The sequence below is a fragment of the Homo sapiens genome, chromosome 15, assembly GCF_000001405.40.
Source record: "Homo sapiens chromosome 15, GRCh38.p14 Primary Assembly".
NCBI lineage: Eukaryota > Metazoa > Chordata > Mammalia > Primates > Hominidae > Homo > Homo sapiens.
In genome coordinates this window covers 40,503,407-40,520,527 of record NC_000015.10, presented here as the reverse complement: position 1 = coordinate 40,520,527, position 17,121 = coordinate 40,503,407, and the positions used below count along the sequence as shown (strand labels likewise).

Below are 17,121 nucleotides of genomic sequence, written 5' to 3'. Positions count from 1 at the left end.
TATGAATTCATGTCAGTAGTTATTTGCTGAAATTATATCAGTATAGTGCATTGATCCTGCTTCAAAGCAGGTGTAGAGAGGATTTCCAATATGATGAACAACGTGTGGACTGGAAAGCAGAAGAAAATATGCATAGAATTGGGTACAAAGTAAATGTATTTTCTTCAACATTGTGTTCTGTTCATATTGTTCTGAAATAAAAGAACAAGTTCTAAACATTAAAACAAATACACAACATCCAAGAAAAACGATACAATAAGCAAAACATGCAGAATACACACACACACACACACACACACACACACACACACACACACACACGCACACACAATCTGGCAGCTGGAGCCACATTCAGAGACAATGGTTGTTGGGGGAAGCCTCCCAGTTTCCTCCAAGGAAAGGACATTCTTGATTTGTCGTCTCCACTCCCCTGTCACCCTGGACTTAGGTGCAAAGATGGGCAGAGCAGCTGTGCACACCAAGTTGTCTCTTCTTTCAGGGGGTGCCCATGTGTGTTGGGGTAAAAGGGAAACTGGGGGAGGGGGCACTCTCACGGGTGTGGCCCAAGAGTGCTCAGCCCAAGGGCAGCCTCAGCGAACAGCACTGCCACCTTGCGGCTTGGGTTGGTCTCAGCTCTGATTAAGGGTCCAGGGACCCACAAGGGGGCTCCTTCATGTTCTTCAGAAGAAAATATTTGGCAATTCAGTAGCCTTCCTTCAAATATCATTTTTATGTTTTTTTCTTAATTTAAAAGTAATTCACATTCACTTTATAACATTTTTAAAGTAGATATAAGGAAAAATAAAATAATAAAAATTATCTGTAAATCCAACCTCCAGAGATAACCAAGATATTAGGCACTTGAGTGTATATTCTTCCAGTCTTTTTTCTGTTTTTTTTCTTTTTTTAACAAAAACAGGATTATACAGTACATACTGTTGTTTCATAAACTAAATATATTGTACGAGTATCTTTCCACTTGTTAAATACATTGTATGAGTATCTTTCACTTGTTGTTCTGCAATACCTTTTATTTTATTTTATTATTTGGAGACATGGTCTTGCTTTATTACCTAGGCTGGAGTGCAGTGGTGCAGTCTCTGGTCACTGCAGCCTTAGCCTTCTGGGCTCAAGCAATCGTCCCACCTCAGCCTCCTGAGTTAGCTGGGATTACAGACATGTACCACCACACCTGGTTAATTTTTGTATTTTTTGTAGAGACGGGGTTTCGCATGTTGCTCAGGCTGGTCTCAAACTCCTGGCCTCAAATGATCCACCCACCTCAGCCTCCCAAAATGCTGGGATTACAGGAATGAGCCACCACACCCGGCCCACAACATAATTTTTGATGGCTGTATTGTATTCCTTTCTTTGGGTGACTGGGCCATAGTTTATTTAACCAACTATTGTTGGAACACTTAAATTATACCCATTTTTTTTTCACTGAAGTAAATAATGCTGGGATGAACTTCCTTGTTGCTGAATCTTTACAGAAATCCACGGTTCTTTTCTTAGTTAAATTCCCAAGACAAAGTGGATATGAAGTTTGTAAGGTGTTTCATATAATACAGTATATTAGTTAAGACTTTCCAGAAAGGCTTAATTAGGAGGCTTTCTACCTTATTTATTTATTTTTAATTTTTTTGAGACGGGGTCTCACTTTGTGCAGTAGCGTGATCATAGCTCACTACAGCTTCAAATTCGTGGGCTCAAGTGATCCTCCTGCCTCAGCCTCCCACAGTGCTGGGAGTTTGAGGCTACAGTGAGCTATGATCGTGGCACTGCACTCCAGCCTGGTTGACAGACTGAGACGCTGTCTCTAAAAAAATTAAGATAAAATAAAATAAAAATTAAGGGCTTTCTCCTCATATGTTAGTGGAGATTAAACCAATAGAGAAAATTATAACGATTTAAAAAATACTATAAGTTCAGAAACATTTTATTCTTTTTCAAAATAATTTTTCTTTTTCTCCTCATGTTACTTTGTTTAAGATAAATTCAGAAACATTTTAAAGTGAGCTTTATTTATTTATTTATTTATTTTTTGAGACCAAGTCTCGCTCTGTTGCCCAGGCTGGAGTGCAATGGTGCAGTCTCGGCTCACTGCAACCTCCGCCTCCTGGGTTCAAGGGATTCTCCTGCCTCAGCCTCCTGAGTAGTGGGATTAATGGCGCCCACCACCATGACTGGCTAATTTTTCTGATTTTAATAGAGACGGGGTTTTACCATGTTGGTCAGGCTGGTATTAAACTCCTGACCTCGTGATCCACCCCGCCTCAGACTCCCAAACTGCTGGGATTACAGGTGTGAGGCCACTGCACTCTGCCGCTTTATTTTTATTAATCACAACTACACCTATATACTTCTCCTATTTTTTTATTTTTACGAATTTTAAAAACAGCAAATTTGAAGGAATAGTATTAACACCCCTCCACTCTCCACCAAGCTTCAACATTTTAGGCATTATACAACTTTGCTCTCTCTCTTTATAAATATATATATATATTTTGAGATGGAGTTTCTCTCTTGTTGCCCAGGCTGGAGTGCAATGGCGCAATCTCGGCTCACCACAACATCCGCCTCCTGGGTTCAAATGATTCTCCTGCCTCAGCCTCCCGAGGAGCTGGGATTTCAGGCATGCGCCACCACGCCCAGCTGATTTTGTATTTTTAGTGGAGACAGGGTTTCTCCATGTTGGTCAGACTGGTCTTGAACTCCCGACCTCAGGTGATCTGCCCACCTCGGCCTCTCAAAGTGCTGGGATTATAGGCATGAGCCACCATGCCCAGCCATGAATACTTTTTTGCTTAACCTTTTGAAAGTAAATTGCAAATGTTATGTCACTTCACCTCTGAATATATTTGCATGTATCTCCTAAAAGAGGGACATTCCCCTACATAACTACAAAATCATTATCATGCCTAAAAAGTTAACAATAATTCTCTAATATCATCTAATATTTAGTTTATATAACATTTTACCCAATTGTCCCTAATTATAGATTTTTAAAAATCAGATTCAATCCAAGCTTATGAATTGTTGTATCCTTTAAGCTGGAAGAGTCGCTTCTTTCTTTTTCTATAACATTGTCTTTTTGAAGACTCCAGGCCAGCTTTCTTACAGAATGTTCCACATTTTGGATTGAGTGAGTGTTTCTTCATGGTGTTGTTTAACTTGTTCCTCTGGCCCTCTCTGTTTTCTGTAAATTGGAAGGTTGGTGCAGAGAACCTGTATAAAATAATTCTACCGGCTGGGTGCGGTGGCTCACACCTGTTATCCCAGCACTTTGGGATGCCGAGGCGGGTGGATCACCTGGGGTCAGGAGTTCCAGACCAGTGTGGCCAACATGGTGAAACCCCGTCTCTACTAAAAATACAAAAAATTAGCCAGGCGTGGTGGCAGGCGCCTGTAATCCTAGCTACTCAGAAGGGGCAGGGGAATTGCTTGAACCTGGGAGGCGGAGGTTGCAGTGAGCCGAGATCGCACCACTGCACTCCAGCCTGGACAACAAGAGTGAAACTCTGTTTCAATTAAAAAAAAAAAAGAATTCTACCATAGTTGGTTGCATTATTGGTTCTGATTTATTCTATCCTTTCCTGTGAGGTGATTATACGTCCTCTCCTTTTGCTATGTGACTTGCGGCACTCCTTTTTAGGAGGAATACACTTCACTGTCCCATTAATGGCGGGCATGGTCACACGACTTGAGGTGGCCAATAAATGTAAGTGGAAATGACTATGCTTTTCCCTGCAGAAGGTTTAAGAACTATGGCAGACTTCTATCACTTTCCTTTTCCCTCTGCCATGAGGATTACATATTTCAAATAGAGGCTACATCTTCTGCCCAGATCCCAGAATGGAGAGGACAACACAGAGCAGAACCACCAATGACCACAGCCGACATAAAATGTGCATAAGAAATAAACCCTTCTTACTGTAAGCCACTAAGAGTTTTGGGTTATTTGTTACTACAGTGTAACTCAGAGAAAGCTAATTAAAATATAAACACATATGTCAGCAATATTATTTCTTTCATCACAGAAGAGCCTTGCTGTATCCATAGAGTTGAGAGCAGGTCTCCTTGTTACACTGTGGGTACACTAGATTCCAGAACCACTACCTACTGTGTCTCTGTATCAGCTCCTGCCTTCAAGCGGCTCAAGAAATGACTTTGGGGACCCAAGCCTGGGGCCAGTCTGTCCAGGATGACTAAAGAGGGAGTTAGATGGAGAAGGCAGGGTCTGGAGCAGTACCTGGCACATGCAGTACTCAAGGATTTGATAGATAAATGAGTAATTTGCTTGCATTCTTGTGCCAGGGTTTTTAAGAGTCAGTCCAAAATAAGGATTATGTTATGAATTTTTCAAAAAGCCTTTTTTCCTTTAAAAGACTTATTGGCCGGGTGGGGTGGCTCACGCCTGTAATCCTAACACTTTGGGAGGCTGAGGCAGGCAGATCACAAGGTCAGGAGTTCGAGACCAGTTTCGCCAACACAGTGAAACCCCATCACTACTAAAAGTACAAAAAATTAGTCAGGTGTGGTGGGGTGCACCTGTAATCCCAGCTACTTGGGAGGCTGAGGCAGGAGAATCGCATGAACCCAGGAAGCAGAGGTTGCAATGAGCCAAGATTACGCCATCGCACTCTAGCCCGGGCAACAGTGCGAGACTCCAACTCAAAAAAAAAAAAAAAAAAAAAAGACTCATTTAGGAAGACGTAAAATGAAGATTTTATTTCCTTTAAAAGACTTATTAATCCACTTAACAAATTATTTACTAATTACAAAGGGGAAAATGGTAATTTGACAGTGGAGAAATCTGGTGGCCACCCTTTTAACTAAGAGAGCAAAGTTAACATCTCTTAAATAGGACAAACCAATGTCATATGCCTTCTGATGTCATGCAATGAGAAAGGACGTATCATTTCTGTGGTATTTTGGCAAAAATGCATTACTTGAGTGTAACCATGAGCAAACATCAGACAAACTCCAACTGAGGGACCTTCTACTCAATAACAGGCCTGTACTTTTCATACACACAAATGTCAATGTCATGAAAGACAAAAGAAAGCCTGAGGAAACTGTCAACAGATTGAAGGAAACTGAAGAGACATGACAACCAAAAGCAACGTGTGATCCTAGAATGGATCCTGGGCCAGAGAAAGCAATGCCTAGAAGAGGAAAAAGAAAAGAAAAAGAGGAGGAAGAGGGTGTAGAGAAGGAGGAAGAAAAGGAGGGTGGGGAGGAGGAGAAGGGGAGAAGAGAGAGAAGTAGCAGCAGGGGGAGGGAGAGGGGACATTATTAGGATAATTGGCAAAATTTTAATCAATTATGTAGATTATAATATTATATCAATGATGTTAAGTTTCCTGGTTTTGGTGATAGTACATAAGTATTTCAGGGTAAAGAGGTGCAATGTCTATAATTTACTCTCAAATAATTCAGTAAAGAAATTTATATAAACAGGGAGTATTCTGTCTTGTGCACGTGTTCTCTTTCTCTGTGTGTATGAATGTAGAGAGACAGAATCATAAACCAAGGCTGTGCACAGTAGCTCATGCCTGTAATCCCTGCACTTTTGGAGGCCGAGGTGGTGGATCATTTGAGGTCAGGAGTTCCAGAACAGCTTGGCCAACATGGTGAAACCATGTTTCTACTCAAAATACAAAAATTAACTGGGTATGGTGGCATACACCTGTAATCTCAGCTACTTGGGAGGCTGAAGCAGGAGAATTGCTTGAACTCAGGAGAGAGAGGTTGCAGTGAGCCGAGATTGAGCCACTGCACTCCAGCCTGGGTGACAGAGTGAGACTCTGTCTTAAAAATTTTTTTTTTAAAAAAGAAACTCATAAACCTAATATAGCAAAACATTAGCAACTGGTGAATCTGGGTGAAGAGTATATAGGAGTTCATCGTACTATTGTAGCAAATTTTATGTGTGAAATTATTCTAAAACAAAAAGTTAAACAAATGGATATTCATCTAAAATGATGTCATTTCCATATTTTGGGAATTAGAAAGTCTTTATTTATGAACTGATGGGATAGTAGATGGTGGTTTTTTGTTTTGTTGGGTTTTTTGTTTTTTTTTTTGAGATGGAGTCTCGCTCTGTTGCCCAGGCTAGAGTGCAGTGGCAGGATCTCAGCTCACTGCAACCTCCGCCTCCCCAGTTCAAACGATTCTTGGTGCCTCAGCCTCCCAAGTAGCTGGGATTTCAGGCACACGCCTCCACACCCACCTAATTTTTGTATTTTTCGTAGAGACGGGGTTTCACCATGTTGCCCAGGCTGGTCTCAAATTCCTGACCTCAAGTGATCCGCCCACCTTGGCCTCCCAAAGTGCTGGGATTATAGGCATGAGCCACTGCACCCAGCCAATAGTAATTATTTTGAATGAACTTGCTTGGCAAAGTAAAAAGTTAGCCATCCCCTGTTGGCCCCTCCCCACGAAGTCTTTCATGGTGCAAGAAATCCTCAAATGTGGGAAGCAGTATTTTAGTGTGAATCCCCAACAGGATGGACTCCTGCTCTCATCCAGAATCCAGAGGCAGGACACAGCATGTCCTCAGTGATGGGCCAAGAACAACTCCGCAGAGGCCTCCTGGGGCAGGAGAGACGCATGAACACACACACCTTCTTGGGCACACATCCACAGCACACACCCTGAGAGCCCCTGGAAGGGGGAGCCCAGCCTCCCTTGGCATGTGATTGGCTGTCCAGCCTAAGATGTGGCGGATGCTCCAGAGCTGACCAGAGGCACAGAGATGACATCACTGTCTCTTTCTGGAAACAGCAATGACAGAGAAGACCACAGCGAGTGATAAAGGTAGGCTCTAATTAAGCCCTCAGCTGTGTAGGACTTGGGCCTTGATGGAAGGGGTAGGATTTAGTTAAGCCAGGGAAGAGGACGATGCTTTCCCCTTCTGGGAGTCCCTTACTATACTCAGTAGGTACTCAGAGAGTAACGATGTAGTCACTATCAATTTTAGGAAACAGGAGCAGCCAAGACTCTGAAGATCAAACCAGCCTTTGTTTCCTTTACCAATTCTTGGTGGTAATGTTTGGCTGACCCAATAGCATCCCTGGGTGTGCCGGGAGGAAGGATGAGGCTAAGCGCTGCTCCTCCTTCACCGTGAAGGCTAGTATAACTTCTGTTCCAGGAGGACCCAGGAGGATGCAGGACCTTTAATGGCAGGTGAGATTAAGAAATGGGGTTCCAGCTAGGCACGGTGGCTCACGCCTGTAATCCTAGCACTTTGGGGGACTGAGGTGGGCTGATTACTTGAGGCCAGGAGTTTGAGACCAGCCTATCCAACATGGTGAAACCTCGTCTCTACTAAAAATACAAAAAAATTTAGCTGGGCATGGTGGCACCCGCCTGTAATTCCAGCTACTTGGGAGGCTGAGGCATGAGAATTGCTTGAACCCAGCAGACAGAGGTTGCAGTGAGCCTAGATGGTACCACTGCACTCCAGCCTGGGTGTCAGAGCAAGACTGTCTCAAAAACAACAACAACAACAACAACAACAAAAACAAACACAGAAGAAAAAGAAAAAGAAATGGGATTCCAATTCCTTCAGCAGAAGCAGCAGGAACTGGAATTTGTTCTGTAGACTGTGGCAGGCCTGCTGGACAGAAGAGGGTCCTGCCAAGTCTCTGGACTCCACTGACCGGTTTGGGAGCACACATGAGGATGCAGGCTGGGATTGGGGCCTGGAGCAGGGCAGCAGCTGGAGTCTCAACATGCGGACACCAGCAGGACACACAAACTCCATCAGGCCAACATCAGGAGAAGATTCTGTGCTGGGCTGGGCCAGTGATCCCAGATTCAAGGGAGGTGGGGGCCCCACTCAGGAGGGAAGGTCTGAGTCAGGGACCATGGAGACAAAAAAGCTGGAGGGCAGCATGTGGGGGCATGTTAAGGATGGAGATTAGTGAGCATGGGGAATAGAGAGACAGAAATAACCACAGAATTGTGAAGTCTAAGAAATGAAGGCGAGGATAGCTATGAGAGTTGAATTCTAGGGTTACAGCTGAAGGAGCTGAGTGATCCTGGGCTGATGGTGGATGGTAGTTACTTTTAATGAAGTTGCTCAGGCATCAGGATTGGGGCTGCTGATGAAGGGACTGGGGTGTTGGAAGGAGATTGGGTCATACGGAAAACAGGGTGATGGTGAGGCAGAGGAGAAAGCAGGACAAAGACCAAGGTCTATGGCTAAAGCCAGAGGCCCGAAAAAAGAGGGCCCAAACACGTGTAGGGCAACCCCAGATCCTTGCAGAGGGACATTCATCAGGTGGGATGTCAGAGCCAGGAGAGTTAATACTTATCCCCAAAGTAGAGGTTTGGGGAGCAGAGAGGAGGGCAGAGGCGGGTGGGGTGCAGACATGGGGAGGGGTCGCGCTCCTCTGTGGGTTTGGAGGGCTGCCTGTCCGGCGTTGCCTGCCGGAGGGCTTGGCGCTCAGCCACAGTTGCATCATCACTGAATGCACTGAGCCTGTGACCCTGTTTTTACACACACCTGTACCCAGTTCAAGCGGCATCGGGAGAGTCGTCTTAAAACTTCAATCTAAAACGTTCTTTTCCATCTGATCGGGCAGAGCGCAGGCCCCACGGGCCATCGTGGGAGGCACATACAGTCCGCACCGCGCGGACGCCCAGACCGCGGCCTCCGCTCCGCCCCGCCGCCTAGTCCAAGCGGGCAGCCAGTCTCCGCCCTGGAGGCGGCGGCAGAACCGGCTGCGCGAGGTCGGCGCTGGGGCGGCCCGCACATTCCCGCAGGCTCTGCGCCAAGGGGCGGTGCTGCGTACGAGCAGAGCCGAGACCTTGACCCTGACCCGGGCCCTGGGGAGGGAGCGTCCGGCCAGGGAACCTGCCCCTGCGCGCTCCTCGGCTCTTACGCGGCGGCTAGAGGCGTGAGGCCAGAGCCATGATCAGAGGGCGCGCAGTGAGGACGCCCCCAGCCCGCCTCGGAGCTTGGGGCCGCGCTGGGGTCAAGCGGAGCGCACAGAGGCCTGTTATCTGCCAGGGTTAGGAGCCACCGTGGCCAGGTGCCCTGGAGCGGGCCCTGGACCTGCGCGATCGCTGCGGGACAGAAGAGCGGAGACGCGGTTCACTGCCTGGCGCCTACAACCAGCGTGAACTAAGTGGCGAGTGGAAGAGAATAATTTGCCAAAAGAGGGAGGATTTGCTGGTCTACTGGCGGAACTGGAACCCACTATACCCACATCCCCATTCACGAGCGCCCACCTTGAAGGCGTAGAGACGCCATGGTTGTCATAGAAACACTCGTGCTGGGCCGCTGACATGAGCCTGCGGCGTGGAGTGAGGCAAGTTTTTACCAGAATGTGTGCACACATGTAACACGACGTAAAATGTCTGTCACTTATTACGCACATACCCTGAACCTAGGACTGTGCAAGGCACATTACAGAAGTAACTCAGATGTGGGTGTTTTGCAACCTACCTTTCCTCCCTAAGGAATCCTCGAAGCAGGGTTTACCAATGCTCTCACTCCTCCCAAAAGAAGCCACCTACACAGGTGGATTTTATTGAAGGCTTATAGAGGAGACCAAGGAAAGAGGAGATTTTTCATACATACAACAATAGGGTGAAGCATTTCTTTCCATTAAACATCTCTCCCTTGTTTTCCTTTTTGGCTGTTTCTCATGGACCCTTTCTCTGAGCAGTCTCTGAATCTTGCCCAGCCCCAAGTGCTCCCTCCAGGATCTTCCTCTGGACTCTCCATCTCTCCCCTTTCCCTAAGAAGATCACCCGGGTCCTGCCTCTCCAAGACTGCTCGTGGGAATACACACTGTCACCCACACAAGACAGCCTGCTCAACGAGTACTTGCATCGCCAGCATCCACAGTCTGCAGAGGTCAGCAACAGTTTTTATTTCTGAAACACATAGCTTTTCTCATCCAACTTGCCCAGAAATCCAGGAGGTAGATATCATTCCCATTTTACAGACGAGGAAACAGAAGCCTGGGGAGGTTAAGTAACTCCTCCAGTATCACATGTAATAAGTGACAGAACCAGCACTCAAACCCAGGCAGTCAAGCTCTTTCCCCTCCCCAAGGAGTCTCACAGAGCAGCAGTTTAAAGAACCATGTCTGGGTGATATCTTCTGGTGCTTCTATGAGCATTCATGGAATTGTTGCATATGTGATGTGCAGGTCATGAGAATGTGTGATGTTCTTGCATCATTTTATGCTGCTTTGGACTTGAAGCAGCATTTCTCAGATACAGAAATTATGTTGGCAAGTTAAGTTGGATGACAACTACCTACACCCGTATTTTCTTTTATTAATCAAATACAAATGTAGCTGAGGTATATGGCCTCATTCGATCCTCACAACCCCTTATGAGACTGAAACAGTGGTAAAGTGATTCCTTCTTCCACATTGTGAATTTCCTTCACGGAAAATTCTGAACATACAGTACTTCAAAACGTAAATCTTTTCCACAGTGTCACAGATTTCAAACTAATTATAAATACTACATATAAATGCTGTGTAAATATGACATATACACACACACACACTATAAATGCTATATATTTATATGGTAACATCTAAATGCCAGGTACTGCTCTAAACACTTTCCATAGTAACTCATTTAATAATTACAATCACCCTATGAAGTAGAAACTTATTTTTTTCAAAGATATTTTTAAATTATTAATTTTTATGGCTGCATAGGTGTATCTATTTAGGGGTACATAAGATATTTTGATACAGGCATATAATGCATAATAATCACATCAGGAACTGGGCGCGGTGGCTCATGCCTGTAATCTCAGTACTTTGGGAGGCCGAGGCAGGCAGATCACGAGGTCAAGAGATCGAGACCATCCTGGCCAACATGATGAAACCCCATCTCTACTAAAAATACAAAAATTAGCTGGGCATGGTGGCGTGTGCCTGTAGTCCCAGCTACTCAGGAGGCTGAGGCAGGAGAATCCCTTGAACCTGGGAGGCAGAGGTTGCAGTGAGCCAAGATCGTGCCACTGCACTCCAGCCTGGTGACAGATCGAGACTGTGTCTCAAAAAAAAATAAAAATAAAAATGACATTAGGGTAAGTGTGTTATCTACCACCTCGAGCATTTATCATTTCTTTGTGTTAAAAACATTCCAATTATACTCTTTTAGCTTTTTATTTTTTAAATGGAGTTTCGCTATGTTGCCCAGGCTGAAGTACAGTGGCACAATCTCGGCTCACTGCAACCTCTGTCTCCCAGGTTCAAGCAATTCTCCTGCCTCAGCCTCCCAAGTAGCTGGGATTATAGGCATGTGCCACCACACCGGGCTAATTTTTGTATTTTTGTATTTTTTTTTTTTTTTGAGATGGAGTCTCGCTCTGTTGCCCAGGCTGGAGTGCAGTGGCATGACCTTGGCTCACTGCAACCTCCACCTCCCAGGTTCAAGCAATTCTCCTGCCTCAGCCTCCTGAGTAGCTGGGACTACAGGCGCACGCCACCACACCCAGATAATTTTTTTTGTATTTTTAGTAGAGACGGGGTTTCACCATGTTAGCCAGGATAGTCTCGATCTCCTGACCTCCTGTTCCGCCCATCTCAGCCTCCCAAAGTGCTAGGATTACAGGCGTGAGCCATCGCGCCCGGCCTAATTTTTGTATTTTTTGTAGAGATGGGGTTTCACCATGTTGGCCAGGCTGGTCTCGAACTCCTGACCTCAGGTGATCCACCCGCCTCAGTCTCCCAAAGTGCCAGGATTACAGGCGTGAGCCACTGCACCCGGCCTCTTTTAGCTGTTTTTAAATGTACAATAAATTATTGTTGACTGTAGTTACCCTGTTGTACTATCAAATGCTAGATCTTATCCATTCTATCCAAGTATATTGTTATACTCATTAACCCCACTACCCTCCCCACTATCCTTCCTAACCTCTCATACCATGGTTCTACTCTCTAGCTCCATGAGTTGTTCAATTGTTTTAATTTTTAGCTCCCACAAATGAGAACATGCAAAGTATGTGTTTTTGTGCCTGGCTTATAAAGGTATTTTAAGCAAGACCTTATCTCTACAACAAAATGAAAAAATTAGCTGGGTGTGGTGACACATACCTGTAGTCCCAGCTACTCTCAGGAGGCTGAGGATTGCTTGAGCCTAGGAGGTAGAGGCTGCAGTGAGCCGTGATTGCACCACTGCATTCCTGCCTGGGCAACACAGCAAGATTCTGCAATAAATAAACAAACAAACAAATAAATAAATAAAGGTACTTTAAATTTGAGGCTTAATTTACATACAGTAAAATGTACAAATTTTAAAGTACAATTCTGAGTTTTGACAAATGTATGTACTCATGTAACCATCACCTCAGTCAAGATATAGAACATTTCCATCACTCCAGAAAGTTCCCTGTGCCCTTCTCAGTCTGTACTATGCAAAGAAGCCACTGTTCTGATTTCTAATACGACAGATTAGCTTAGTGTTTTCAGACCTTCATACAGAATTGTAGAGCGGTTTATTTAATCCAGTGCTTTTGAGATTCGTTTATGCTGTGGTATGTATCAGTAGTTTGTTCCTCTTATGCTTAGTATTCCATCATATGAATACATCACAATGTATTATGACTTTGTTTATAGACGTTTGGTTGTTTGTAGTCTTTGGCTATTATGAATAAACCTGCTATGAACATTTGTGGGCAAGTGTTTCGGTGGACATAGATTTTAATTTCTTTCTCTTTTTCTCTCTCTCTCTCTGGTCTCAAACTCCTGGGCTCAAGCGATTCTCCCGCCTCGGCCTCCCAAAGTGTTGGGATTACAGGCGTGAGCCACCGCACCCAGCCTAACTTTATAAGAAACTACCAAATAGTTTTCTAAAGGGATTGTCAATTTGGTATTATTACACAAAAAAAGGAAACTGAGACCCAGCCACGTTAATTGCCTCAGAATAATTAGCCCAGGCATATGTGTTCTGGAGTCTCTCTAGCTGGGGCTGGGAAAAGAAAAGGTTGTGAGGTGGGAGTGAAGAGATGCTAACCCAGGAGAGCCAGCCTCGAACCGTCCCGTCCTGTGTGCTGGGGGAAGAGCCCCGGCTACAGGCAGGAGACAGGGCTGTCCCGGCTGAGCTCTGGGGTCCTGCCCGGGGTTTGGCCGGCAACATCACCCCTCGCCAGCTTCTCGGGCCCCCTGGCTTCCCATTGCTCACCCAAACTCCCCCACTGGGAAGCAGCAGGCGGGCGGGCACAGCACTAAGCTGCCTTCACACCGAGGCGCCCGGGAAACGCGAGGCCAGAACAGAAAGCCCAGGAGGCGTCTCTGCAGATCCTGCAGGGGGAGCCGCTCCCACCGCCAGAGTCTGGCGGAGGGCGGGTTTCCACCGCTTGGAGGGGAGGCGGGAGCCCTCTTGGCCTTGGCGGGAGTGTTCCAGAGCCTGCTCCCCTGACACGGCCCCCGCGGTATACACAGCGCGCTGGACTGTTAGGTCTTTTCTCTTTTCTCCAGTAAGTGATTTTGTTGGAAGCTGCTTACATGGAGAAGTGAGATCACATCGAATAGTAAAATCAAACATCTCAGCTGAATATTCCTTTGGTTGCAAAGACACCAACTCACAGATTCTAACAATAGAGTTGTCGACATTGAAACAGGAGTGGAGGAAATAGATTTTAAATGTTAGCATTTTGTACAGACAGCCATTTGAACCACGAAATACCATCTAACATACAATGGGTAATTGAATAGAAAGCAAACACATTTTCATCAATAAGATGGAAACTGCCTTTTGTTAAAAACCTGAAGATACACTCTGAGGAGGCCCAATTTACCTGGCAACTATGTGCCTTTTTCTGTCTGACTTGTCCTTGTACGTTAATATTTTGATTTACTTGAAAGGAAAAGTTGTAAATATATGAGAAGTGTTCATGATGAAATGGAATGAAAGTCTGAGAGGCCTAATCAACCAGTTGTCTGTTCTCAGATATTCACTGGGTTCCCAGGTTAAACACTGCAGAGGTTCCAAAAGAGGTGAGGAGGGCCAGCGATTGATTTCACTGGGAAGACAAGACTTAGGCACAAGAAGCAATTCGCTATACAGGATGGTCTGTACCATGTAGTTATGTCACTAGTCATGAAGATTCAAATTTTCCTAAGACCACCATCATCCTACCAAAGTAGAATTAAAAGTTCACTGAGCCAGGCACAGTGGCTCATGCCTGTAATCCCAGCATTTTGGGAGGCCAAGGTGGGCGGATCACGAGGTCAAGAGATTGATACCATGCTGGCCAACATGGTAAAACCCCATCTCTACTAAAAATACAAAAATTAGCTGGACGCGGTGGCGCATGCCTGTAATCCCAGCTACTCAGGAGGCTGAGGCAGGAGAATGGCTTGAACCCAGGAGGCGGAGGCTGCAGTAAGCCAAGATTGCACCACTGCACTCCAGCCTGGTGACAAGAGTGAGACTCCGTCTCAAAAAAAGTTCACTGAAATCATGTGAATTTTTTTACATTTAACTTTTTGCATAGGCAATATGTTAACAAGATTCAACCGTCAGGAGATATTTAAAACATTTTCACAAAGTCTCCTTCCTATGGCATCTCTTAGCCACCCTTCCCATCTGTTTTCCTTCTACTTTATTAATCTGATCCCAGAGTTGCTTTATGCACCAACACACACAGAGGAATAAGCTCCCCTCCTTTTTACACAAAATATAGCATACTCTTCACACTGCTCTATATCTTGCTTTTTCCCCTTAATATATTTTAAAGATCTTTTCATTTATTTATTTTTAAAATTTATTTATTTAGAGACAAGGTCTCACTCTGTTGCCCAGGCTGGAGTGCAGTGGCGCAATCATAGCTCACCTAAACCTTAAACTCCTAGACTCCAGAGATCCTCTCACCTCATCCTCCTGAGTAGCTGAGACTACAGGAATGTGCCACCACGTCCAGCTATTTTTATTTTTTCGTAGAGATGGGGCTCACTTTGTTGCCCAGGCTGGTCTCAAACTCCTGGCTTCAAGCAGTCTTCTCACCTCGGCCTCCCAAAGTGCTGAGATTATAGGTGTTAGCCACCTTGCCCAGCTGAAAATCTTTATATATCAGCTTATAGAGAGCTTTCTCATTAAAAAATATTTTTCAAATAATACGATATTATCTCACTGTATGAATGTACCATAACTTAATTTTCCAGTCCTTTTATCTGTGGGCATTTAGGTTGTTTCCAATGTTTTGCCATTACAAACAATAATGCAGTGAATAACCTATTATACATGTCATTTTACACATAAGTTTATCTTTAAGGTAAATTTCTAAAGTGGAGTCTGCTGGATGGAAGGAAGTGCATTTGCAGTTTTGAGAGATATTGTCAAATTGCTCTCTGCAGAGGCTGTCCCACATCACCCTCCTATGCCCTCACCTACAGAGTGTGTTATCAAAGGTTTGGATGCTTGCCAAACTTTTCGTGAAGAAGGTTTTCAGTGTAGTTTTAATTTACATATATCCTACGAATGAGATTGAACATCTTTTCATATATTTAAAGCTCATTGTGTTTTTTTCCTGTGTATAAACTCTTATACCCTTTGCTCATTTTTTATTGGGTTATTAGTTTCGGGTTTTTATTTCTAAGAATTCCCATGTAACAGAGAAATTACGTTTTTTGTTTGTTTTGAGACAGAGTCTCACTCTGTCGCCCAGGTTGGAGTGCAGTGGTGTGATCTTGGCTCACTGCAACCTCTGCCTCCCAGGTTCAAGTGATTCTCCTGCCTCAGCCTCCCAAGCAGCTGGGACTGCAGGCATGCACCACCACACCTGGCTAATTTTTGTATTTTTAGTAGGGATGGGGTTTCACCATATTAGCCAGGCTGGTCTCGAACTCCTCACCTTGCGCCTGCCTCAGCCTCCCAAAGTGCTGGGATACAGGCGTGAGCCACCGTGCCCGGTCGAAAAATCAAGTTTTTGTGATGCAAGTTGCAAATATTTCCCCAAATTTTACATTGTCTTTTGACTTTGCTTACAGCATTTTTTCCATGCAGGAGAGTTTTTCTTTTTAGTGTGTTAAAATATGTCCATCTTTTCTTTTTGTGGCTGCTGGAGTTTATTCATAGACAGAAAGGTCTCCCCATTTTAAGGGAGGAGTTAAAAGAGCAGAACGTATTTTTTATATATATGTGTGTATGTATATATATTTTATATATATGTATATATACACACATATACATACACATATACACATATACACATATACATATATACACATGTATATACACATATACATATATACACATGTATATATACATATACATATATACCCACACACATATATATGTGTGTATATTTTTTTGAGATGGAGTCTTGCTCTGTCGCCCAGGCTGGAGTGCAGTGGCATCATCTCGGCTCACTGCAACCTCTGCCTTCCGGGTTCAAGCAATTCTCCTGCCTCAGCCTCCCAAGTAGCTGGGATTACAGGTACCTGCCACCACACCTGGCTAATTTTTGTATTTTTAGTAGAGACAGGGTTTCACCATGTTGGCCAGGCTGGTTTTGAACTCCTGACCTCAGGTGATCCGCCGGCCTCAGCCTCCCAAAGTGCTGGGATTACAGGCATGACCCACCACCCGGACAACATATTGTATTTGTATAAGACTATTTGAAACAAAGCATCTATTGCATAATGTTGATCCCTACTCCTGCCCTACATTAGTACATACAATAAATAAGCATATGATATGATAATATGATCCAAGGTGACTTTTTTTTTGAGACAGGGTCTTATTCCATCACTCAGGCTGCAGTGCAGTGGCACGATCATGGCTTACTGCAGCCTTGACCTTCCCAGGCTCAGGTGATCCTCCTGCCTCAGCCTCCCAAGTAGGTGGAGTAGCTGGGACTATAGGCACATGCCACCACGCCTGGCTAATTTTTTTGTTTTTTGTAGAGATGGGGTTTTGCCATGTTGCCCAGGTTGGTCTCAAACTCCTGTGCCCAAAGCAATCCACCCACCTCAGCCTCCCAAAGTGTTGAGATTACAGGCGTGAGCCGGCTGTTACTGCCTTTTTAAACAAATGTCCATCTTCAGATTTTTAAAAGATACTTTTCTTTATTATGTTCTAATTAACATAAAAAACAAATTTAATTCCTTAGCCAATCACCAGATTCAGAGC

General features: G+C 44.6%; 3 annotated features.

Moving 5' to 3' along the window:
• Positions 280-389: an enhancer, noted in NCBI's record as "active region_9246". NCBI's record gives its function as "activates an Ori minimal core promoter by ATAC-STARR-seq in GM12878 lymphoblastoid cells {active_cell/tissue: GM12878}" and the evidence as "EXISTENCE:reporter gene assay evidence [ECO:0000049][PMID:35858748]".
• Positions 444-738: an enhancer, noted in NCBI's record as "tiled region #12089; K562 Activating DNase matched - State 5:Enh". NCBI's record gives its function as "activates a minimal TATA promoter and a strong SV40 promoter by Sharpr-MPRA in K562 cells {active_cell/tissue: K562}" and the evidence as "EXISTENCE:reporter gene assay evidence [ECO:0000049][PMID:27701403]".
• Positions 8,715-8,924: a silencer, noted in NCBI's record as "silent region_6337". NCBI's record gives its function as "represses an Ori minimal core promoter by ATAC-STARR-seq in GM12878 lymphoblastoid cells {active_cell/tissue: GM12878}" and the evidence as "EXISTENCE:reporter gene assay evidence [ECO:0000049][PMID:35858748]".